Below are 26884 nucleotides of genomic sequence, written 5' to 3'. Positions count from 1 at the left end.
TTCCTGGACACATACACCCTCTCAAGATCGAACCAGGAAGAAATTGAACCCCTGTACAGACCAATAACAAGTTCTGAAATTGAGGCAGTAATGAATAGCCTACCAACCAAAAAAGGCCCAGGATACAGTGGATTCACAGCTGAATTGTACCAGATGCACAAATAAAATCTGGTACCATTTCTGCTGAAACTATTTTAAAAAATTGAGGAGGAGGGATTCTACCCTGACTCATTCTGTGAGGCCAGCATCTTCTTGATATCAAAATCTGGCAGAAACACAAAAACAACAACAACAAAAAACTTAAGCCTGTATCCTTGATGAATATCAGTTCAAAAATCCTTAACAAATATTGACAAACTGAATCCAGCAGCACGTCAAAAAGCTTATCCACCACAATCAAGTTGGCTTCATTCCCGGGATTCAAGGCTGGTTCAACATATGCAAATCAATAAATGTAATTCATCCCAATCAAACTGAGGACAAAAACACATGATTATTTCAATAGATGCATTAAAGGCTTTCAGTAAAATTCAAAACTCCTTCATGTTAAAAACTCTCAATAAACCAGGTATTGAAGGAACATACTTTGATATAATAAGTGTCTTCTATTGACAAACTCACAGCCAACCTCACACTGAATAGGCAAAATCTGGAAGCATTCCCCCTAAAGACTGGCACAAGACAATGGTGGTCTCTCCTTTTTAACATAATATTGGAAGTTTTGGCCAGGGCAGTTGGGCAAATGAATGAAATAAAACGTATTCGAATAGAAAATGAGAAAGTAAAACTATGCCTGCTTGCAGATTACATTATTCTATATCTAGAAAACCGCATATTCTGAGCCCAAAAGCTTGATAAGCTGATAAACAGCTTCAGCAAAGTCTCAGGACACAAAGTCAATATGCAAAACTCACTAACATTCCTATACACCAACAACAGTCAAGCTAGAGCCAAATCAGGAATGCAATCCCATTCACCATTGCCACAAAAATACCTAGGAATAAAATACCTAGGAATAAAGCTAACCAGGGAGGTAAAAGATCTCCACAAGGAGAACTATAAAACACTGCTCAAAGAAATCAGTGATGACACAAATGGAACAACATTCCAGGCTCATGGATAGGAAGAATCAATTGTGAAAATGGCCATACTACCCAAAGCAATACATAGATTTAATGCTATTCCTATGAAACTACTATTGCCATTCTTCACAGAACTAGAAAAATATATTTTAAAATTCAAATGCACCCAAAAAAGAGCCATAATAACAAAGGCAATCTTAAGCAAAAACAATAAAGATGGAGCATCATGCTACCCAACTTCAAACTATACTGCAGGACTATAGTAACCAAACAAAATGGTACTGGTTTAAAAACAGACACACAGCCCAATGGAACAGAATAGAGAATACAGAAATAAGATTGCATGCCTACAACTATCTGATCTTCGACAAACTTGACAAAAACAAACAATTGGAAAAGGATTCCCTATTAAATAAATGATGCTGGGATAACTGGCTAGCCATATGTAGAAAACTGAAACTGGACCTTTTCCTTACACCATACATAAAAATGAACTCAAGATGGATTAAAGACTTGAATGTAAAACATAAAGCTCTAAAAAACCCTGAAAGACCTAGGCAATACCATTATGGACCCAGGAAAAGGCAAAGATTTCATGATGAAGCTGCCAAAAGCAATTGCTACAAAAGCAAAAATTGACAAATGATAAGCACTAGGATATATAAATATTTCTATTTAAAGTAAAGAGCTTCTGCACAGCAAAGGATACTATCAATGGAGTAAACAGACAGCCCACAAAATGAGAGAAAATTTTTGCAACTACGTATCTGACAAAGGTCTAATACACAGCATTTATAAGGAACTTAAACAGGTTGACAAGAAAAAAATGAAACAACCACATTAAAAAGTGTGCAAAGGGCATAAACAGGCACTTTTCAAAAGAAGACATATATACGGCCAACAATCATGTGAAGAAAAGCTCAGCATCACTGATCATTAGACAAATGCAAATCAAAACCACAATGAGATACCATTTCATACCAGTCAGAATGGCTATTACTAAAAAGTCAAAAAATAACAGATGTTGGTGAGATTGCAGAGAAAAAGGAATGCTTATACACTGTTGGTGAGAGGGTAAATTAGTTCAACCATGTGGAAGACAGTGTGGCAATTCCTCAAAGAGCTGAAAACAGAACTACCGTTTGACCCAGCAATCCCATTACTGGGTATATACCCAGAGGAATATAAATTGTTCTATTATAAAGCCACATGTATGCACACGTTCATTACAGCACTATTCAGAATAGCAAAGACATGAAATCAATCTAAATGGCCACCGATTATATCATGACCTTTGAAAGAATATGGACGGAACTGGAGGCCATTATCCTTAGAACACTAATGTAGGAACAGAAAACCAAATACCCCATGTTCTCACCTATAAGTAGGAGCTAAATGATGAAAACACATGGACACATAGAGAGAAACAACACACACTGGGGCTTATTGCAGGGTAGAGGGTAAAAGGAGGGAGAGGATCAGGAAAAATAACTAATGGGTTCTAGGCTTAATACCTGAGTGGCAAAATAATCTGTACAATGAACCCCCATGACACAAGTTTAACTATCTATGTAACAAACCTGCACATGTACCCATGAACTTAAAATAAAAGTTAGAAAAATAATGAAAATACAAAGCAGAACTATTTAGATAAAGATTTAAATAATGTAAAAATGAATTATTAGGATTGGAAACAATGTTACATAAAAACAGGAATTTTTTTATTAAGCAATATTTAATTTGAGTTAATTGTGAAAGTTTTACAGTAAGCAATGAAGATTGATTAAACTTGTAAGACATTATTTATTTTCATGTTTCTAACAGATCTCAACAGAAACTTTCAAAAAATTGTGTATATTTTTACGTCACAAACATATAAAGATACCTAAAGCTGGATATTCTTAATCAACTTTATTGAATTACAACTTACAATAAAAGGATCATGTTTTAAACATGTTATTAGTTGAGTTTGAAAAACATGTATTCTGAATTCTTTCTCCAGCATGACCAAGGACCAGGGTATATACACCAGACAACAGAGCCGTTTCATTTTGGGGGCTCGTTTGGGATCAGAATCAGAATGGAAGGTAGAAACATCAGAGTGGTGAGTATGGAGTGAACTTCAAATTTGTCCTTTAATCTCAAGGCTTTATTCAAACCAGTTTCCTTTCATGGAATTCCTAGCCATTGTGTTAGGCTGTGAGAAGTCCTCCAGCAAATGAGAATTTCTGGCCAGGGCACACCCTGGTGTTTTTCAAAGGAGTCTGGACTGAACCCAGCCTCCGTCAGCCATCTGGGTGTTGGTAATGGATCTCCAGCTATCCTGTCACAAAATTTTTCTTCCTTTTCTCTCTGTGGTCACTTGTCTCTTATTCTCTGTGTGTGTGCAATGTGCAAAAATTTTTACAGTTGAGGCAAACAGTTCTTTTAGGAAAGATAGGCAATCGCCACAGGCAGTAACCCAATAAGCATCTCTCTCTATCCTCTCTCTGGTGAGTACATGGTATTTCTAAGCCAACATAACCATCTAGTGGAAATAGAAATCCTCTTCATGAGGCACATTGTCAGTCTGGTAACACTGCAGTTCTCTAATCCTCTTTTTTCGTGCTGCTGGAAAAGATCCTTCTGTGAACAGGAAAGCTCTGCCATCAACAATTAGGAGTAAAATGTCCTCCATGACCAGATTTTAGATCTGATACTGTCTCATTGTGTATGGAATTTATTCCTTCCAGTGGGTTCTTGGTCTCACTGACTTCAAGAATGAAGCCATTGACCCTTACAGTGAGTGTTACAGCTCTTAAAGATGGTGTGGCTGGAGTTTGTTCCTTCAGATGTTCAGATGTGTCCAGAGTTTCTTTTTTCTGGTGGGTTTGTGGTCTTGCTGACTCCAGGAGTGAAGCCACATATCTTCGCAGTGAGCGTTACAGATCTTAAAAGTTGGTACATCTGGAGTTGTTTGTTCCTCCCGGTGGGTTTATGCTCTTGCTCACTTCAGGATTGAAGCCACAGACCCTCGCAGTGAGTGTTACAGCTCATGAAGGTAGTGTGGACCCAAAGAGTGAGCAGCAGCAAGATTTATTGGGAAGAGCAAAAGAACAAAGCTTCCACAGTGTGGAAGGGGACCCTAGCGGTTTGCCACTGCTGGCTCGGGTGGCCAGCTTTTATTCGCTTATTTGGCCCCACCCACAATCAGCTCCATTTTACGGAGAGCTGATTGGTCCACTTTACAGAGTGCTGATTGGTCCATTTACAGAGTGCTGATTGGTGCGTTTACCATCCTTTAGCTAGACACAGAGCGCTGATTGGTGCATTTACAATCCTTTAGCTAGACACAAAAGTTCTGCAAGTCCCCACCTGACCCAGAAGCCCAGCTGGCTTCACCTCTCACCATCAGCAGGAAAATTGTCATTAGGTCCCCACATTCATTTCTGTCTCCAGTTGGAACAGTAGTTAATTAGTAAGAAGTTTTTAAGTTCAGAAGTTAACTGGAACCATTTTGCTAAGGGTAAATGTTTTAGCACAGGCTGTAGTAGCAGGCAATATAGAACATTCCCTCCATTAAAGGAGCCTTGACCAAAGATGACATAGACTCTCTGGAGATCCATTTTTCAGGGAGCCAGGCAGATCACACAAGTTTAGGAAGTCAAAGGGGATCACAACAGGCAGATAAGCTGAGGTTCTGTGGGTAAAGCATAGTTAATCCAATCACTTAGTTCATCTGGTTCCATGGCTTGGAAGGCTACGCCTGCAACCTTGGGTGGAATATTTAACACAGTGCTGGGACTTAGGAACTGAGGAGAGAAAATAGTTGGGGGGATGCTCCCACTGTCTTCTCCTCCCGCTCCACCCTGGGTCACAATGAAAGAAAGAAGGACTAAAAGGATGCTTTTATTTTCACTTCTTTTTCTAGATGGGTAACAGACTATCTTCAGCTTGCACCCCTCTGGAGTGCACTCTGAAACACTGGAACTTGTTTAACCTCGGTACTTTAAAGAGAAATGTGACTCATTTTATTTCGCACAAGGGCATGGCATTTTTACTAACCTTTGCAAGTGTCGTAAGATCGACCTAGCTTTTTTAACAGGCATAACAGGTAAGCCTATAGAAAATAATCCCCCAATTACAAAGGCAGTTTCTGGGGGAACCATCTGATAATTCCCCTTATTTGGGGACACCTCAAGTTTTCTTCTCATTACAGGACCTTAGGCAAATAAAGGAAGAACTAGGCCAATTTTCTGACGACCCCAATAGGTATGCAAAAGGTTTCCAGAATTTAACTCAGGTGTTTCACCTCATATGGAAGGATGTTATGCTGCTCCTAAACCAAACTCTAACCACAGCAGGCAGTTCTGCAGGTAGCAGATAATTTTGGAGATGAGCAATATACCTCCTGTAATATATCAGAAAGGAAGAAAAGAGATAGGGAAAGGGAAGAAATAGCAGAAACACCATTTCCAATAGGAAGGGAAGCTGTTCCTCTTGACAACCCTAATTGGAATCCCAATAGCTCTACAGATGAATGGAAAATAAAGCACTTTTTAATATGTATTTTAGAGGGCCTATGAAAGAATAGGGCAAAATCTGTTAATTACTCTAAACTGTCCATGATAGACCAAAAGCCAGATGAGAATCCTGCAGGCTTTGTGGAAAGGCTGAGAGAGGCACTAAAAGAGGACACCTCCTCATCCCCTGATTCAGTTGAGGGACAGCTCATTCTAAAGCTTAAGTTTATTACACAGGCAACTTCCGATATTAGAAGGAAACTACAGAAGTAAGCTATAGGACCAGATAGCATCTTGGAATACCTCCTTGAGGTGGCCACTTTGGTCTCTTATAATAGGGACCAGGAGGAGGCCTAAAAGATAGAGAGGAAGCTCAGGAGAATGACAAAGGCTCTAATAGCCGCTTTGCAAGTTTGCAAAGTCCAGGATACCCCAGGTGCATCCGTTAGTTGCTATGAGTGTGGCGAGCCAGGGCATTTTAAGAAGGAGTGCCCAAACATCAAGAAGAAGCCACCTTGACCAGGTCCAGCCTGAAGTGTAGGCCACTGGATATCAAATTGCCCCCGAAGGCAGAGGTCACTGAGTACAGAACCAGTCTCACCGATGATTCCAGCAGGACTGATAGGTCTTGGGGCTCAAATCCTGGCTCCGGTGGCTAAAGTGTCATTACAGCACAGGAGCTCTGGGTAATTCTGGAAATTGAAGGAAGGAAAGTAGACCTCGTTCTGAACACTAGTGCCTGTCTGTCTCTCTTTGCTCCTCTCTAATTTAGACCTCCCCTCTTCCCATAATACGACTGTAAGGGGCGTCTCAGGACAAACTCCAATCCAATATTTTTCTCAGCCTCTTAGTTGCAATTAGGAGGACCTGTTATTTATACATGCTTCCAAACCACTGCCACAGTAGCTCTACTCATCAGAAAAGCCTCCAAATTAACCCTAGGAAATAATTTACCTGTTTACACCCCACATTCCCAGCAAGTGTGGCTGCTCACCAGAGCTTTCCACCCCCCAATACCTTGGCCCCAGGGGACAGCAGGCCTTGGCCTTCTGACTTGTGAGGCGAGCTGACATTCTGGACCTTGGGGGACGGCAGTGGCATGGAGACTTGAGTGGCGGCCGTTGTGGTGTTTGTGGTTGTAGATGTGGTCACTCCCACTGCCTCGGCCAGGTCTGGAGGGAGGTCATCTTCATCACTGCCGTTACTAAAAGCACATGAAGCTCTGCTCATTAGAGTAGTAAACAGGCTGTGAGGAGTGGACGGAGGATCCTTAGCAAACAAACAGCCAGTAAAGCAAGCAATACATAAGGCAGGATAACGTCTAAAAAATGTCTCTCCCCAGACACAAGCACTGAATTAGCTGCACTAAAAGTTCTTATAAGATCACAAATTAAGCAAGGGAAAGGTAGCTAACTTTTATACTAACTCCAAGTATGCTTTCTTAGTTCTTCATGCTCATGCTGCCATTTAAAAGGAAAGACATTCTCTTATCACTAATGGATTTACTATAAAATATTACCAGGAAATTAGCAGGCTATTATCCTCAGTTTTCCTTCCACAAGAAATAGCAGGAATGCATTGTAAGGAATATCAAAAGGAAACAGATAAAGTAGCCAAAGGAAATAGGTTAGCTGATCAGGCAGCTAAGTTGGTGGCAAGGAAGCCTCAAGGGATTAACACACTTCAAGCCATCCTAATCAAGGAAGGCTCCATAAGAAAAATTAAACCTCATTATTCCCCTGCAGAAATAGAGTGAGCCACTTCTCAAGGGTGTACTTCTCATAACTCAGGATAGCTACAGTCAGAGGATGGCAAACTCCATTTGCCAGCCTCCAGTCAATGGAAAGTCCTTACATTCCTTCACCAAGCTTTTCACTTAGGAAAGGATAAAACTTATCAATGTGCTCAGAGGTTGTTTTCAGGCAGAAAACCTCTAACTTGGTTAAGCATCTACCCTCTCTAGCTCACTTTCAATAGGAATTGATACATCTAGAAAAAGCCCAACCCCAAGAAATAGGACCACCTTTACTTAACCTAAGAAATTTCGTATTAGTGAAAACTCATCTCTCTCTCTTCTTCTTTAAGCCAAGCTGGGAAGGGCCCTATACAGTTCTTCTTTCAACCCCCTCAGCAGTAAACGTTACAGGTATCAACTTCTGAATACATCACACTCAAGTCAATGCCTGAAGACCTGAGGGAGCAACCCCTGACAGCCCAGAGGAACATCTCGAATATCAATGTGGAGAAACAGAAGATCTTAGGCTGAAAATCATAAAAGATAACTAACTGAGTGAGGGACAATCATCTTACTCAGCCCCACTCCTTTACCTCAACAAATACTTTTTATTACTTCTACCTTTATTATTATTATCTATACACACACACACACGTACACACAAACACATACTAGCAATCTCCTTCAGACACAACACTAGGGACAATGATAAACTTTCAAATAATTTTTTTTATTTTTCTTAGTATTATAAAAATAATTTATTTTAATATAATTATTCTGCCAAATAATAGAACTTCTTTGTAACGCGTATTTGCAGAGAGATTTTAATTATACATGGAATTGCATTTGTAACTTCATAAATCCCCCAAGGGAAATGTTATATCTTGGCAAGTAAAGTTTTAAACAAAAATTATTTACTATGCCACTTTTATGGGAATTGTTATAGTCACGCTATGATTTGCAATAAAGCTATACACTGTGGTACCCACAATGTGGAATTCTGGTTTTAAAATTCTCATGGCTGTAATATTTTGCCTAATTATCATCTTTATAGCAGGATTAATAATTACAGGAAGGATTTAGTCAAGTTTGTTTTGCCTGTAGCAGGAGTACTAGTTACAATCAAGAAGTAACCATGAAAGTTTTACTATCATTAAGTTTGCTAGGACTTTTTACTGAAGATTGATAATATGGTGCACTCTAAGCTATGGAAAGGTTATAAAAGAGAGATTTTATATAAGAAAGGATCTTGTATAGTAAATTCTCATCCTAAAAGGAAATGACTGGTTGTTTTAAGGATGAATGTTTAGGACAAGTCAGAAAGTTTGAATATGTTTTAAGAGGGTCTGTGAAAATCATGTAAGAATTTAATAATTAAATGGAAATAATTGCCAAGATTGACACTAAAGTTATTTTAGCCACCTAATACTGCTTTTCTCTTAATCATATCACAAGTTATAAAAAAGGCCTAAGCCTAAAATTATCCCCTAGTGGCAAGTCAAGGGGCAAAATGTGTTTTTCTCAAGGAAAATGTTACTTTTATATTAACTTTTCTTGTAGTGTACTATGACATCTAGTGGAGGCAGACCGGTATTACAATCCATTGGTGTAACTAACAGGTATCAAACTATTGTCATAGTTAAGGTTTACAGTATCCCCACTAACAGTGATAATCTTAATACTCATATTCTAACTTTATATTTTAAACCTTCTTGTAAAATTTATCTCTTTTTGCCTAAAAGCAATCAAACACCAAATGGTGCTGCAGACAGAGCCACACATGGACACACCAATCTTGTGAGAACCCTTAGACCAACCTCAGGAGGAGCCCCAACTGCTGTACCCCCACACCACGCCCCTTTTTGGCAGGAAGTAACCAGAAAGAATCATCATCCAACACCCCCAACAGCAGTTAGGGCAAAATCTCCTGAGGGTGAAAATAATACAGGAGTTACTAAGAAATAATTTTTAGGCAGCTAGAAAGGGTAAAAGTTCTCAGTGGAGATTCCACCGAGACTTTACGTTCTGGAAAAGAGATTCCAGAAAGTAATTCAGCCTTGCTGACACCTTAATTTTAGCCCAGTGAGACCTGTGTTGGATTTCTGACCTACAAAACTGGAAGATAATAAATTTGTGCTTTTTAAGCCTCTAAAGTTCTGATAATTTGTTACAGTAGCAATAGAAACCTAAGAAGAAGTGTAGTAGTGCATTTTAAACATGTAATTGAATTGTAAAGATAACACATTTAGAAAATTGATTCAGGAGGAAAATTATATTTCAATTCTGATTATCCACAACACACACACACACACGTACAAACACACGCATACTAGCAATCTCCTTCAGACAAAACACTAGGGACAATGATAAACTTCCAAATGATTTTTTTATTTCTCCTAATATTATAAAAACAATTTTTTAATATAATTATTTTAGTGTGGAATATTTCTAATCAAAAATTTACAATGTATATGATTGAGTCATTAATCAAGCTCTAATGATAAGTATTCTTTTTCTTTTCTGATATGGTTTGCATTAACATTTGTGTTTTAATCAAAGCCAGCAACTTATTTGAATATTTTTTCACAAGGAAAAGTTCATTCATAAAAATATAAAAGCCTTTACATAAATGCATAACTGCTAAGATATATATCAATTTGCATAAAATATAATTTTAAAAAGTATGTCAACAAATAAATATAATTGGGTTTATACCTTCTACAATATTTTATTTTCTTTATAGTGAATAACTATAAGGCATTTGATAGAAATTTGAGGTAGCTGAGTTTAAATCCTGGCTCTGTGTCACCTTACTCAATTCCATAAGCTTTTCTGTTATTTAAATTAGTAATCTGCAATAGGAGGGGTTATTTGACTACATAACATTTAACTTTACATTTCTCTTTAAAAATTTTTGACTACACCTTTTATGACAGTTGCCATTGCTGTAGAGTCATGGTTCTCAACCTGGGTGATTTTCTTCTCAGGGGACATTTAGTATCTGGAGAAATTTTGTTGTCATAACTCGTGTGTGTGTGTGTGTGTGTGTGTGTGTGTGTGTGTGTGTGTGTGTGTGTGGTGGGGGAAGAGTTAAATTAACATGTAGTGGCTTGAGTTCAGGGATCCTGCTAAATATTAAGTACAATGCATGGAATAACCCATACAACAATTACCCAGCCCAAAATATCAATAGTGCCAAGCTTGAGAAATCCTGTCTTAGAGAAAGAAGTTATTCAATATTTGATGCAAAAAGGGAGGTATTTTACTGATAAAAGTGATGCTGATTCCAAATACAATCGGATTTAATGCAAACTAATGAATACCTCTCTGGCAGCTAGAAGAGTGATGGTTCAAAGTATTTTACTTTGCAATCTTAATTACCTGAAGTAATTTGGAACACAGGAAAAACAAAACACGCAGTCATTAAGTTTCTAGATCTCTTTGAAATCAATAAAGACAAGATTCCATTAAGAAATCCCAGAGCCTAGTGTGCATTTGAATGAATCATGGTGTGACCTATTATATATCCTTGAGTTCTTTGCTGAAATTGGTTGTCATTGTATTCAGAACTAATACAGGTCAAATTGAGAGGTGACAACGTGCTAGCAGCCCTCGTTTGCTCTTGGCGCCTCCTGGGCCTCCACCTCTGCTCTGGCCACGCTCCAGGAGCCCTTCAGCCTACCGCTGTGCTGTGGGGGCCTTTCTCTTGGCCTGTGGAGGCCAGAACCGGCTCCCTCTGCTCGCTGGGAGGTGTGGAGGGAGAGGCGCAGGTGGGAGCCGGGGCTGCACTGGGCGCTCTTAGGCTGGCACAGGTTTTGGGTGGGCGCCCGCTCAGCGGCCCCGCACTAGGCATTGCCAGCCAGTGCCTGCTGGCCTTGATGGGGCACAAGCTCCCTCTGCACTGCCAAAGTGCCTGGGCTAGGTACCCCAAAGTCTGGCAGTGAGTGCCATTGAGAGGTGAAGCCACTGGGCTTCTGGTTGGGGTGGGGACTTGGAGAACTTTTCTGTCTAGCTAAAGGATTGTAAATGCACCAATCAGCACTCTGTCAAAACGGACCAATCAACTCTCTGTAAAACGGACCAATCAGCTCTCTGTAAAATGGACCAATCAGTTCTCTGTAAAATGGACCAATCAGTAGGATGTGGGTGGGGGCCAGATAAGGTAATAAAAGCAGGCCACTTGCGCCAGCAGCAGCACCGTCCTTACATGCCTTTCAGTGCTGTGGAAGCTTTGTTCTTTTGCTCTTGGCAGTAAATCTTGCTGTGCCTCTCTATTTGGGTCCGCATCATGTTTAAGAGCTGTAACACTAACCGCAAAGGTCTGCAGTTTCATTTCTGAAACCAGCAAGGGCACGAACCCACTGGAAGAAAAGAACAACTCCAGAGACGCTGCCTTTAAGAGCTGTAACGCTTACTGCAAAGGTCTGCAGCTTCACTCCTGAAATCAGCGAGACCACGATCCCACCAGAAGGAAGAAACTCCGGACACGTTTGAACATCGAAGGAACAAACTCCAGACATACCATATTTAAGAACTGTAACACCACGAGGGTCTCTGGTTTCATTCTTGAAGTCAGTGAGACCAAGAACCCTCCCAATTCTGGACACAAAAGTACATCACTCAGAGATCTGTTAATGACAAAGTTAAATTTGTGAGGGACGGGTTGGTAGTAATATTTTATAGTATTTCCCATGTTTCTGCATTGCCAATAAAGTAGCATTGTAGAAGCTGACATCTCAGAATTTACAAGTAACTAAACATTTTTAGGTGATTCAGAAAGATATATGCTAGGAGACAGCAAAGAATTCAATCTTTTGCCTTTTCATTTCAATCTTCAGGCTTGTTAAATAAACTCCTTTAACTAACAAACTGTTCATACTTATTTCCAATCTAAATACTAGTTAGTAGCTCAGCATTGCCCCGATTTCGCTCTTCTTTTCAGATATAACGACACAAAAGGGAAGAAAGCTGGAACACACGTTTATGTAGACAGAAGTAGTTTATTCAGAGAAATAGTTTCCTCCAGTCCTCTGTTGCCTAAGGTAAATTTGACGGAATATATTCCTAACTTTCCCTATTCCAAGTGAATGTGACTAATTTTAAATATGCCACACAAATGAATTCAGATAGCATGTATCCACCAAATATAGGGTGACATCCAAAGGATTGCTAACACTCACATTCTAAGAACACCATGCTATAAAATCGTTTTATTTAAAGACAAGTATCCAGGAAAGTCGTTGAAAGGGTAAATTACTGAATATTTCTAGAGTCCCTTTTATTTAAGTCTCTTTCTCTGTATCAACCATATAACCATTATCCTTGGCCCGTTCATAGCCCCTCTACAGGTAAAAAAGAACTCAAGGTTAACAACTCATTATCATGTACAGTTTCACTTACAGGATGCAAATTTGGAGTATTTTTTCAAAGAATTATGTATCTTTTCCACAAAGAGTTCAATGCTACACTATTCAGATTTTTATTGTAGGTATAGAGAGTGCTTTTCTGAGTACTTGTTTGAGACTACAGGAAGAGGAGTAGTGCTATTTATGTTTGCACTCTAAACTGAGAGCTCCTCTTACGTAGTTGTGCATGTGATTTAGAAAGAACCTGGACACACAAGATTTTGCAATGGTGTCGCATAAAGGAGATATCTAACCAGTCAACAATATAAAGAATTAGAACTCTAGAGATTTAAGGAGTTTACAACCAAAATAATCTTCTTGTAAAAAGAAAGAGAGCAGGATTTGAAATCAGAAGATATGTATGATTTTACTCCATTTACTAGGCATTAAAGCAGGGATAGATACTTGTTTTCATCGACATCCCTTTCTTTGTGGAAAGTAATCGGCCCCATCCGATGTGGTTCTGGTAAACTATCAATCTAAGCCTCTCACCTGAGCTACAGAAGTTATCATGAAATCTAGATTTTTCACATTGTAGCACTACCTCTGTCTCACAATAATGAGCATTTTAGGGGTTGACAAATGATGAAACAAAGCTGGTTGAGGTTCTTCATTTGTATTGGCATAATATCACCGGGGGAAATCTATTTTTAACTGGTGGTGTTAAACTAGTAGCAAAGGCTGCAAGTAGCCATCTTCAAGATTTATGGAGCAATTCAAATAGCACAAGTAGAGAATAGTGTCATCACAGTGAAGAAAACATAAAAAAAAAATTGCTGGCATAATTTGAGCCCCTGGATCCAGTCGAACATGATATACACAAGTTCCATGAGCCCAAAATCTATTTAAAATTGAGTATGTGTTTCTTTTTATTAAATATATAAAACGAATTTTAAAAATTCTACGGAGCCCTTCATAACTTGGCTACAATTAACATGCCATCCTTAATTTCTATGATTGTCCTCTAATGTGCTTTTTTCTGTCCATGCTTACTTTTTAGTGTTCCTTGCAAAACCATCACACTCCAGCCTAAGGGTCAGTACATGGGCTGTTCAGTTGTTTGCTCTTCCTCAAGATACCTTCAGATATCTATACACCACTCCATCTCATCCTCAAATCTTTGCTAACATTCTAGAATTTCTATGGAGGTTTTTCTGACCACTCTTTATGACCTTGCAGCTTGCCTGCACACCCAATTTCTCTTACCTTGTTCTAGTACTTACTACTTTCTAAAATACTGTAAGATCATACATTTTTATATGTATTGATACATGCAAAATATAAGTATAAACATATTTTACATGTATTTACTGCTCTCCTCCTCACCATTAACAGTAGACTTATGACCCACAAGGTGACTTTCATTAGTTTTTTTTTTTCCCACAGTTATGCCCCCTGTGGTAGAATAGTGCTTGACACATACAATGATCTCGATAAATATGTAATGAATGAATTTGATGAATCATACAAACGTGTAGCTAAGTTTGGTTTTAAGCAAGTCACTAAATTGTCTGAGCCTTTGTATCTATGTTTGTAAAACATCAATGACACATGCTACCCACTTTCCATATCTTATAGGTCTATGTATTAGTCTGTTCTCACATTGCTATAAAAAATTCCTGAAACTGTATAATTTATTTAAGAAAACAGGATTAATTGGCTCACAATTCTGAAGTCTATACAGGAAGCATAGCAGCTTCTGCTTCTGAGGAGGCCTCAGGAAACTTCCAGGCATGGCAGAAGGCAAAGGGGAAGAAGGCATGTCTTATATGGCCAGAGCAGGAGCAAGCTAGAGAGGGGCAAGGTGCTACACACTTTTAAAACAACCGGGTCTCATGATAACTCACTCACTCCCTATCATGAGAACAACACATAGGGAATGGTGTTAAACCATTCATGAGAACTCTGCCCACATGATCCAATCACGTCCCATTAGGTGCCACCTCCAACACTGGGGATTACAATTCGACATGAGATTTGGGTGGGGACACAGATCCGAACCATGTCAGTCTACAATGTATACATCTTATTTTACCAAGTTTATGAAAATGGTTGGACATATGTAAAATGCTTAAATGATATGAGCCAACATTCTCAGATACTATTTTTATAACTAAATATAGAGTTAGAATCACATATATGTGTTCCTTTCATTGTGGCCCAACTCAATTCTTTTTTCCAATGGAAATATCAAGGGTTTAACAAAGATACCTCAGAATCAAATAATAATTCTGGCTTAATGTTACAAACTATTAGTTCTCTGAAATTGCTTTTAAAATATTATGATAGTAAAATTGGTAATAAATGTATTGTGTTATTTCCTCATAATGTACACATTATAATGTACAGTTTAATGTGTACATTATGAGGAAATAACAAAGTATTAAAACTAATATGAATTTTATTTCATGGTAAACTTAATGTCATTAAAAAAACTTCACTGATGATTCTTACATCAGCCAACGTATTCAGCAAAGAGTAACAGGGAAAACCACATGTTATCATACAATACAGATTCTGATGTGAAGTGAAGACCTGAATCAGGTTATGGACATGTCTATAACTTGCCTATGATACTAGGAGACATATTTATGCTTTTCTTTTTCCTTAATATTTATCAAATGGGCTTAATGATCTTGTCTGCAAAAATGTTATTATTTTTAGAATCACATGAGTTAATGGATTGAAGAAAAATTAACCCCCACCCCCCCCCAACACACAAGCATTTTAGGGGAGACATTGTTGGTCTAAAATAAAAAGAAAGGAAAACTCAGAGAGCTTGCAAAGTTAATAACCTATTTTCTGCCACTAAATTTTCAAGTGAAACATGAGATAGTTATTATCCCTGCCCATAATTCCATAGCTCCCTTCTCAAGTCGTGTTTCTTATGCACCAGAATTGTTGTTTGTGATCACCCATTGAATTTATGCATGCTTCAATCCTTACAGAGCCTAGTATTTCTACAGCCTTGACTGTACATAGACATCAAGGCAGAGACTGCAGAGTAAAATATTGACAGATTTTATTTCTAAAACAATTGGAAAAATTAAACCAAAGAATGGATAAAATAGTTTAATATATATTATAGCAAAGGGTTAGCATCATTTATGTAAATAGGTCTATACATTTAGGAAAAAATATGAATATTCCAATAGAAAATCGAAAAAGGAAATGATAATTTACAAGATAATAAACCCAGATGTCCAAAAGACAGGAATGTGTTAAAAATGTTGGAAATTGCTAATGAATAAAAACTACATGTTAAAATACTGATGTACTTATTTCCATTAGGTGGTCAGTTATTTCAAATAATTCTAATGTTTTATGTAGAAAAATTATGTGTGGAAAAAGTGACAAGAAATATTTGTGCAGTCCAGGAAGGATACCAAGCAAAAAAAAAATCAACATGTATATATTTTGGAATGCAAAATCACAGTACACACAATCTTTCTCAAGGACATAATTTTTTTAAAAAGAAAATGATTTCTTTTCAAGCATATTATTTGTAGCATATTACATGTTATAAACAATACTGGAAACCAATTAGATGACTAAATCAAAAAGTGTGGTTAAATAATTCTGTATGAAATACTATCAGTAAATATCATTACATAGTTTTAACACTGAAAGAGACCAGGAAAAGTGTTAAATAAAAAGCAGTCTATAAGCTATATGTATAGTAAAATGCCATTGTTGTTGCACATATTTAACCATTCAAACCTGTTTCTGATCACACTCAGCCCTCTTTCATCTGCTGACAGGCTATGAAAGAGCCAAAGCTGATGGTTATATGGTTAATTCAGAGAAAGAGTCTTAAATAAATGGAGCTCTGAAGGAAACCTGCAGTAATTTGTCCTTCCAAGGACATGCCTGGACACTGTGGTCTTTAAAGAAGATTACTTGAGTATGAGCATCAGGAATTCAAAATTTTGATTTCTTATTATTTCATTTCTTGACAATCATAGAAACATGAATTGACATTCATTTCTTTGGATATTTTCTCATAGATGGTCAGTTTGAACAGAATAAACTGCTAAGCCTTTATAGAGTGAAGAAGTTTCTTTACATGACTGTGTTAATATTCATTCTTTAAAGTCCTTTACTACTAATAAACCAGAGATTCTTGGGCCTTACGAAATTGTGGGATAAAATAAATTGGTCACATTTATAGGAATTACTCAAATATCACTCCTCATAGGATCTCAGCACTTCCGCCTCTTCCCACGATTTTCATACAAGAATATTAAGAAGTTCTGCTCATATCTTAGTAGATCATATCATGTGTTATCTGCTTGAAATAACTGCTCCTGGCACTAGAAACCACATGCCAAAGATGCACCATTGCTGCTTCTCTTGGTGATTACTGTTTCTGCTATGCACCAATATGTATGGAACGTACAGAATGAATTGTGGCAAGTGGAAAGATGGAAGAAGATAATCTAAAGAACAAATAATGTGCAAATGGGAAATGAGTGTGGAAGGTTGCATTATGGCTCACAAGTACTCATTGCTCCACATGGATGGAGGATTATACTCTCCTATTGCATTGTCATCATGTTTGGGACTATGAGTTTTATCAATGAAATAGGAACAGATGTCGGTTGCATCACTTTCAAGCAGAAGCTTTAAGAGCCAGTTTGCTGGTAGTTTGCTGTATCTCTCTTCCTTCTTTGTAGGAATAATTATGTTCCAGAAAGAGATTGCTCTGCTATTCTGGGTCCAAAAATGAAAATAATATTGAACAGAGCTGAACCAACTCATGAAGGATATCCCTAATGAAATTAAGATATAACCTTACTTGTTATAAGCCATGGGAATTTCATGTGTTGGTTTGCTTGATTTTCGGGGGAAACGGTATTGCTTATTATTGCAGCATAATTTAACCTACCCTGATTATTGCAATAGGTTTTAGAATCAGTCCAAACTAAATTCAGGTTTTGTCTCAGATACATGATAAATGTGTTACCTTGGAAATGTTTATTCTCAGTCAGTCTCAGTTTCTCTTCAATAAAGGAATAATAAATATCTAATTTATAGATATTCATCTGAGAGAATTTGATGAGTGATCATATATCAAGTAGCTATTAAGTAAGATGTCTTCATAAACATTAATATATTTTATTTTACTTCCCAAGAATATTCATCAAGACTTTTCTGAATCATCAGATTACAGGACATTATGTCCTGTCTATATATGGGCATGAAGTATACGGATGGCATATGGCAAGTTGCAAAATATTTTTCTGGAGATAGCAGAGATGTGGGAAAGAACGAACAAGTTCCACATGGTACCACAATAATTCAGAAGTTTTTAGAGGATTTAGAATGTTCTTAATGGAGGTTTGTCTTTTTCCCTTGTCTAAGACACTATGGGAATACTGAGGAAAAATCCATTTCAGTACCTGCTAATAAAAATGTTAAATAGATATTCAAAGAGTAATATCATATCCAGTTATCCCCATTTTATCCTCTGTTATTATACTGATCATAGTGTAATTGATAGATGCATTTAAAGAAGATGGTACACTTGCTGATGGATATAGAAAACATTCATTGTAAATACATTTTATGAGATTGGATAAATGTGAGAGGTAGGATAGAGGAAAGAGATATAGTATGAACTATGGCAGAGTAAATATGACACAAATATGTTGACAGCTTTCCCTAGAGAGATGAGATTTATTTACCCTAATGTATGACCAGAGTATGGCATAAGTAATTCATGCCAATTCCAGCTCTAACCTTTAAAAAGAAGGGCATTTTATGCTTCTTATTACTTAGAATAGCTTATAGAGCTCTGACTCACCAATTGAAAAGTCAAACTAATATACTAGAAAGACCATGGAGAGACACCCTGAAGCTACATGAAGAACCAAAGGAACTCCTCAGAATCTAGTGTTCCAGTTGTCCCCACCAGGGTACCAGACGTATACATAATGAAGCCATTTTGGAACTGACTTCCTTATCCTCAGTTACTCCAATTCACAGCTTGTGAGTGAGAGACAGATGCCCCAGCCAAGCCCTTCCCAAATCTTTGGTTAACAAAATCATGAATAGCATAAAATGATGTGTTAAGCCACTAAAGTTTGAAATAATTTGTTATATAATAGCAATAGATAACCAAACATGTGCTAAAATCTGCTTCTCAGGCATAAAATGATTAAAAATTATATCTTTTTAAAAAGCAAATCCCTACTTGTCTACACTTCTACCATTGAATTATTACTCTGTTTTCTGCTGACTTTGGTATGTACAGGTGCCATATCCTTATCATAACCCTCAAGTGCTTTTTTTTCCCCCTTTTTCTCCATAGAGGTCTTTTCTTATAGGCATGAAAGAAGAAACATAAGTGTAGCAAAAAATAGCAATTCTAGAAATTATAAATACAACTATATTTAATTGTGTCACTATAAATATAGGTAGCCCTTGAACAAGATGGGTTTAAACTGTGTAAGTCCGTTTGTGGATTTTCTGCATCTGTCATCCTGAGATAGCAAGGAGAACCTCTCCTATTCCTCTCCTCATCAACCTACTCATCCTGAAGACAATAAGGATGAAGATTTTTATGATGATCCATTTCCATGTAATGAATGGCAAATATATTTTCTCTGCCTTATGATTTTCTTTTCTCTGGTTTACTTTATTGTAAGAATACACTATGTTATACATATAGCATACCAAATATATGTTAAGTGACTATGTTATCGGTAGGGCTTCTGGTCAACAGTAGGCTATTAGTAGCTATGTTTTATGGAGTCAAAGTTACACACGAATTTCCAACTGCATGGGAGTTGGCACCCCTAACTCCTGCATTGTTAAAGGGTCAACTATAATTTAAAATTAACTAAAAAGCACGTGTAAGTGTCCTGATTAGACATATGTCATATTCAAAATAATTCTTAGATGCCTATTAAAAAAGAATGAACTATGAAATATTTATATATATACTTAATTTCCAATAATTATATGAAAGAGGAAAAAAGCAAAAGGCAATTTGAACTCCATAAGCAATTGAAATCTTGAACATCATTAAACTCAAACTAACATGAGACCACTTAAATTATTCATCCATGATTACTTTCTTCACAGTTAATCACTCCTTTGGAGATTCCAAAACGGTCAGAACTCTAAAGTGTTTATCATACTAAAAATGTCAAATCTTAGAGTTGTTCCAGCCTCAGAACACAGACTCTAGACTCTATTAAAGCAGTTTCTCATTTTAAAAAGAAAGAATGGTGCACTGGGGTAAATCCCTTCTCTTTAAGTTCAGGGAATTAAAAAGCATTCATTTAAGTCTCCCACTTACATTTAAAATAAAGCTTCAGTCATTCAATCAACTATGGTTTTTGAGACTGTGAAACATTCCAGGCCAATTCCATATTCTAGTTAGTTATTTCTAAACAAATACCACTTTTGTTTACATGCAAGAGAAAAATTAGTCTAACCCAAAATATCCATTTTTAACATAAGGAGAAAAATAGTCAAGAGAATGTAAAAGGTTTTTTTTCTGGCTTTTTTTTTTTTCGGAGACTAAAGATGAAAGCTAACTTATCTTGACGCCCTGGTACAGTTAGCACTTCTTGATTTCTATGTTCTATTAATAACTATTTTAATTTTATTTCGAACATCAAATTATGCTGATTGCAAAATTAGATACAAACTCAAGGGTAAAATTTTCTTTTACTGTTTTGAGCAATGATGTTTTTCAAAGTTTGAAGACATTTTCTTTTCTTCTGATGCTATATGTTCTAATTAACTATATATTGGCAATGACACAGATACAGTGATTTACAAATTAAGTTTTGCTAAGTAATACATAGACAATTTTTTTAGTATGATTGAGTAGACTTCCATCTTATAAAAATCTCCAACTTTTTTTGCTGTTTTATATTGCATGAGGGCCTTGAAAGAAAGAAGTAACATCTATCATCATCTTTTCCTCAGATGCCTTTTTTTTTTTTTTAAATTACAGACAACCATACCTGGCTAGAGAAAAAGTACCTTTTGAAGTAAACATAGCTTATATGGCTAAATGCAGTGTTATGTTTTCTGAGAATAAATCCAGGAGATCAAAATCTCACCCAAATAACTGGAGTACAATTATTAGTCTAATTATCCTGTGAAATCTACAACACATGGAAATAGAAGGAACAAAGAAAGGTAAGGGGAGAGAGAGGGAGAGGAAGGAGGAGAAAAAAAGAAGGAAGAGGAGGAGAAGGAAGAAGAAGAGGAGGAGGAAGAAGAAGAAGAACAGGAGTGGGAGGAGGATGAGGAGGAGGAACAGAAAGAACCAGGAGTGGGATAGAAGGAGGAGAAGAAGGACGAGAATGAGGCTGAAACAATAAGAAGAACATGAACTACAATAAGAACAAGAGTAAAAAAAGGAGGAGGAAGAAGGAGAGGAGAAAGAGATGAAGAGAGAGAAGGAAGAGAGAGAAGCAGGGGAGGGAGAGAGGAGGCATGGAAGAGAGGAAAAGGGAACAAAGAAATGAAAGGCAGAGAGATGGAGCAAAAGAATGATGGAAAGATAAAAGTCTAAAAACGCTTACATAAAAAAACAAAATTTGCCCTGATTAATCAAACTTCAAACCATTGAGTTCCTTAATATACAGTTGCATAAAACTGTTCAACTGCCTACCAGAGCCTTTTCCTCCAGACTGTTGGAAAGTCTCTCTACAATCTGCCTTAGCCAACCAAGTAAACCTTCAAGTAGACCATGAAGGTTTACTTGGTTGAGTTCTCATTTCCCTCTAAATCTCCTTCCATGTTTTCCCCAAGCCCAAGTATGATAGAATTGAAAAAAACTGCATAATCGACGCAAAAGGGAGAAAACATATAGCCTATGCCATAAGTATCCTTAGAATACCAAGAGGTAAATAATATCCATGAATGTTAACACTTTAATACTTTTGATTTTATAAAACTTTTCTTTGCCCAAACTTCTATGATTCTTCAGAGACTCCTTTTATTTACAGTCTTATATCAGAAATTATTTGTCTTATTTTCTTATTTTTAGGGTGTTCATGATTCTTCTTAGATTTCCCCATGCCACTTTTCACAATCTATTTCCACAGAAAAAAAATTAAGAGCATAACACATTTACTAGTGATGTATATGTTTCTGTACATGTGTGTATTTAAGGGGTAATTAGTATATTTTTACTATATTTTAAAATAATAATGTCAAAATATAGTTTGAGCTTAAGAATATCACTTTTAGGTAAATCAGCTTTCTTCTTGATTGCTTAAGATGAAGCATTCTTAATAGTTGTATGTAAGTAAAACCTATGGATTATCACCTGAGAGAAATGCAAGAAAATATCCACAAAGCAAAGTAATTAGAGATTATCACTGCATTGTTCAGATTCTGAGGGTATGTAGTGCTTTATAAAGCATGCAGATGTTTTTCCAGTATATACGCACAGCCTTTGAGTGGTGTAAAAGATTTTATTATTTAATCTATATGTGTATATCACGAGATGTGGAATGAATGGGTTTAGGACAGTGAAGCAGGGTTTTGGCACTTTTGGATCCTTATAGGGAAGTGTGACAGATTAACACATATTGTCAATGTCATATTAAAATGTACAAATCAACCTGACTCCAACAGTTATAAGTTATAGAAATTAACAAATGTTGAAGGGGAGTAACTCAGGTCCTGCATTGGAATGAATAAGACCATGCAAGAAACTAACCATAGGGGAAATGTTGCTAAAATTTGATTTAAAATTGCTAAATTGATCTAAAAGCATATATTATCTCATCTCTTTCTGAACCCAATAGGTTTCACTCATTTGTTCAGTATCAGAAAAATTTGAGTGTTTTTTGAAAGACCAAAAATTATGACTCAGTGAAGATAATTTCCTAGTATTCCATTAAGCTGTTGGATGATCCAGTATCTTTACTTCAGTGGTAATCAGGAAAATAGCTTTAGAACAGATTAGGATTGTCCACATTAATAATTTTAAACATAGGCAAAAGGGAGATATCAAACATTTTTTCTGTGAGTACTAACATGAAGAGATCTGAAGAGGAGATAAATGCCCATAACACAAGACAGTAGTGAAAAGGATGTGGGGAATGTTAGAGCAAACACAGCAAGGAGGACTTTATAATTGTAGAGATCAATTATGCTGATGATGCTCACTTAGGATAGCAGTACCAAAGTTTATAATGAGGTAGTAAAAGAATCTGCAACTTAATATGGTGAGTGACACGGGGAAGAACACTGGTAGGATGGCTTTCCAGCTGCCAGCTTTGATGACTGAGTAGAATCCACCAAGAGACGGAATGTAAGCAGAGAAGCAGGTTTAGAGAAATGGCAACAGGAGGAATTCAGTTCAGACACACTGCAACTTACATCCCCATGGAATACTCAGAACTTAGGCCACTGGGGAATTTGAACATTTTGCACAAAGGAGAGGCATAAGTAAATGATCATGTTTAAGGTCATTTGCCAAAGCTATAAAGAAATGCATCCTGTATAAGCAAAATTAGTCCGTTTTGGTTCCACGATCATTAGGGGGAGCCCAGGCACTTTATTTTTTATTTTATTTTTTATTATACTTTAAGTTCTAGGGTACATGTGGACAACGTGCAGGTTTGCTATGTAGGTATACATGTGCCATGTTGGTTTGCCGCACCCATTAACTCGTCATTTACATCAGGTATTTCTCCTAATGCTATCCCTCCCCCAGTCCCCCAGCCCCTGACAGGCCCCAGTGTGTGATGTCCCCCACCCTGTGTCCATGTGTTTTCATTGTTCAACTCCCACCTTTCAGTGAAAACATGTGGTATTTGGTTTTCTGTCCTTGTGATAGTCTGCTTAGAATGATGCCCAGGCACTTTCAATGGTTCTCTTAGTTTATATACAGATCAGAAATCTTACCACAGTTGCAGGAAAAAAAAAGTTATTTTACGCACAAAGGTAGCATTTTATAAAAATTGCACATCAGAGACTCAAATGTGTCTTCAGTGTTTGTGAGAGACACTCACAATGTATCTTTCAAATTGCCAGTTGAACTTACTTTTTCTTTTCCTGGGGTATATAATGGGAAGTACGTGTCTTGACAACAGTAAGTATACTACATATCTCTTGAAATACCAAGGGATCTCTTAAGATATAAATCAAAACATAAAAATATTCATCAATGTCGCCATCTCTCTGCCTCCTATAGGATGAAAGAGAAGCATTGCAGAGTGAAAGAAGAATAAAATATCTATTGATTTTTCTCTCCATTCCTTTGGCCTAAAATTATTTATATCTAAAAGCAACATGAATGGCTTACCAATTCCTTATTTATCCTGAAATCCAAGCTATAGCCCTGACTTGATTTTCCACTTTTTGGCCTCTTAAATTTCCCAGGAGCAGATGCTGCGGCAACGAGAAACTTGAGCTTTTCACTGTATATTATACGTAGGCAAAAATACCAATTTTAACCTGGATTTCTGCCAGTCCCCAATAATAGAATTGTGTATTGAAAAACTCATAAGTTGCTGCATAGTCTCTTACACCTTTAATGGGCCCTTTGATATGCCAGTGATCAAATTTAATGACTACAACCAAGGTTTTGGACAATTGCCAAATAGTGCATGCCAGAGAGAACAAGGAATGGGAAGTCAGCTTGGTATCATGAGTCTGGGCAGAGGGCAAGGGACACAAAAAAATTAGGGAGAAGTCCATGCATTTTGTAACACAAGAGGTCAGATCCAAGCTCTGTTTTTTGTTTTCTTTTTATTTTTTTAAAAGACCTGTCATCATATAGAAAGGATATTCTGAGTAAAAGCAGCATAGATAACTCTCTGATTGGTTATTGCAGAGAAGTGCCAACAGAGAAGTGAATTCCAGGGAGGCTGGTCACTTTACACATTCTGTCAGCCCTAAGACACATAGCCAATTATCATTGCTGTTTCTATAATGGAGGCCGCTTACCTTCTGCCTGGTCTTAGAGATATTTCCCTTTTAGGTGGATACATTAGTTTGCTAGGTCTACGTACCATAGACTAGATGACTTAACAAATACTGATTTTCTCATAATTCTGGAGACCGAAGTTCACTATCAAGGTGTGAGCAGATTTGGTTTCTCCTGAGGCTTCTATCCTTGGCTTTCAGATAGTCACCTTCTTACTGTGTCTTCGTCATTCTGTGTACACATCCCTGGTATCTCTGAGTTACAAGGACACTGGTAAGAGTTCACTAGGGCCCACTCATATGACCATTTCAAAGCCCCTTTTCTAATTATGTATCTCTAAGTCCAGTCGCTTTGTGAGGTACCAATTGTTAGAACTTTAGCCTATGAATTTTGGGTGAACACAAATTTATTTGAAATTATATTTTAACTTTTAAATTGTGGACAGTTTGCTTTGTGTATGTATAAGAAAATATTGACTAAATAGAAATCTAATACACTTTCAAGGATCCTGCAATTTATTTAGCATCGTGTCAACCAACGCTATGGCCCTTATTTATTTCTTTGTAAATTTATTGCTATATTTCATCACAAAGCAGAAGACATTGGATCATAAATTAGGAGTCTTGCGTTTATTTGTACCTAACACCAGCAGTCTTTATGCATGGTATTTAATCTCTTTAATCCTAATCCTGTGCTTCGTTGGCCGAAGAGATTTTACACAGTGCTTCACAAATACAATATTAGTATTATAGTGATTATTTTATTTTTTATGAGAAAAAGTTTCCTTAGCTTTATTGTACTTTGGTCTCATTAGTTTAAACAAAGTAATTTTTTATGATTTTTTTCTATTTTCAGGCTATACGATGTCCGGAAGTGGTGGGTTCTTGGTCTCACTGACTTCAAAAATGAAGACGAAGACGTGGACTCTGGCGGTGAGTGTTACAGTTCTTAAAGGCGGTGTGTCCGGAGTTCATTCCTTATAATGTTGGGAGTTTCTTCCTTATGGTGGGTTTGTGGTCTCGCTGGCTCCGGAGTGAAGCTGCAGACCTTCGCGGTGAGTGTTACAGCTCTTAAGGCGGCACGTCTGGAGTTGCTGGATCCTCCCGGTGCGTTTGTGGTCTCGCTGACTTCAGGACTGAAGCTGCAAACCTTTGCCGTGAGTGTTACAGCTTATAAAAGCAATGTGGACCCACAGAGAGAACAGCAGCAAGATTTATTGGAAAGAGATAAAGAATAAGGCTTCCACACTGTGGGAGGGGACCGGAGGGGGTTGCCACTGCTGGCTCCGGCAGCCTGCTTTTATTCTCTTATCTGGCCCCACCCACATCCTGCTGATTGGTAGAGCCCAGTGGTCTGTTTTGACAGGGTGCTGATTGGTGCATTTACAATCCCTGAGCTAGACACAAAGGTTCTCCAAGTCCCCACCAGATTAGCTAGATACAGAGTGTCCATTGGTGCATTCACAAACCCTGACCTAGACACAGGGTGCTGAATGGTGTGTTTACAAACCTTAAGCTAGATACAGAGTGCCGATTGGTGTTTTTACAATCCCTTAGCTAGACATAAAGGTTCTCCACGTCCCCACCAGACTCAGGAGCCCAGCTGGCTTCACCCAGTGGATCCCGCCCAGGGGCTGCAGGTGGAGCTGCCTGCCAGTCCCGCGCCGTGTGCCTGCACTCCTTAGCCCTTGGGTGGTGGATGGGACTGGGCGCCGTGGAGCAAGAGGCGGCGCTCATCCCGGAGGCTCCGGCGGCACAGGAGCCCACGGAGAGGAGGAGGCTCAGGCATGGCGGGCTGCAGGTCCCAAGCCCTGCCCCGCGGGAAGGCAGCTAAGGGCTGGCGAGAAATTGAGCACAGCAGCTGCTGGCCCAGGTGCTAAGCCCCTCAGTGCCTGGGGCCGGTGGGGCCGGCTGGCCGCTCAGAGTGCGGGGTCCGCCCAGCCCACGCCCACCTGGAACTTGCGCTGGCCCGCAAGCACCGCGTGCAGACCCAGTTCCCTCCCGCGCCTCTCCCTCCACACCTCCCAGCAAGCTGAGGGAGCCGGCTCCGGCCTTGGCCAGCCCAGGAAGGGTCTCCCACAGTGCAGCGGCGGGCTGAAGGGCTCCTCAAGTCGCCTAAGTGGGAGCCCAGGCAGGGGAGGCGCCGAGAGCAAGCGAGGGCTGTGAGGACTGCCAGCATGCTGTCACCTCTCAATATGTCAGCATAACCAATATTAAAGTAAGTTTTTGTTCTTCTGATTCAGGGAATAA

General features: G+C 38.0%; 1 long non-coding RNA gene across 1 annotated transcript in view; it reads left to right on the top strand.

Annotated features, from left to right (window-relative positions):
- Positions 1-25926, top strand: part of LOC105378313 (uncharacterized) — an 85058-nt gene extending 59132 nt beyond the window's left edge. Inside the window, exons 5-6 of the long non-coding RNA XR_001747453.1 lie at positions 3085-3186; positions 25491-25926. This is a non-coding gene — a long non-coding RNA (uncharacterized LOC105378313). The remainder of the gene's footprint in view (positions 1-3084; positions 3187-25490) is intronic.
- The last annotated feature ends 958 nt before the right edge of the window (positions 25927-26884 follow it).

Source organism: Homo sapiens, chromosome 10, assembly GCF_000001405.40.
Source record: "Homo sapiens chromosome 10, GRCh38.p14 Primary Assembly".
NCBI lineage: Eukaryota > Metazoa > Chordata > Mammalia > Primates > Hominidae > Homo > Homo sapiens.
The sequence above is the reverse complement of the archived record's forward strand: the minus strand, read 5'-3'. Positions and strand labels throughout refer to the sequence as shown.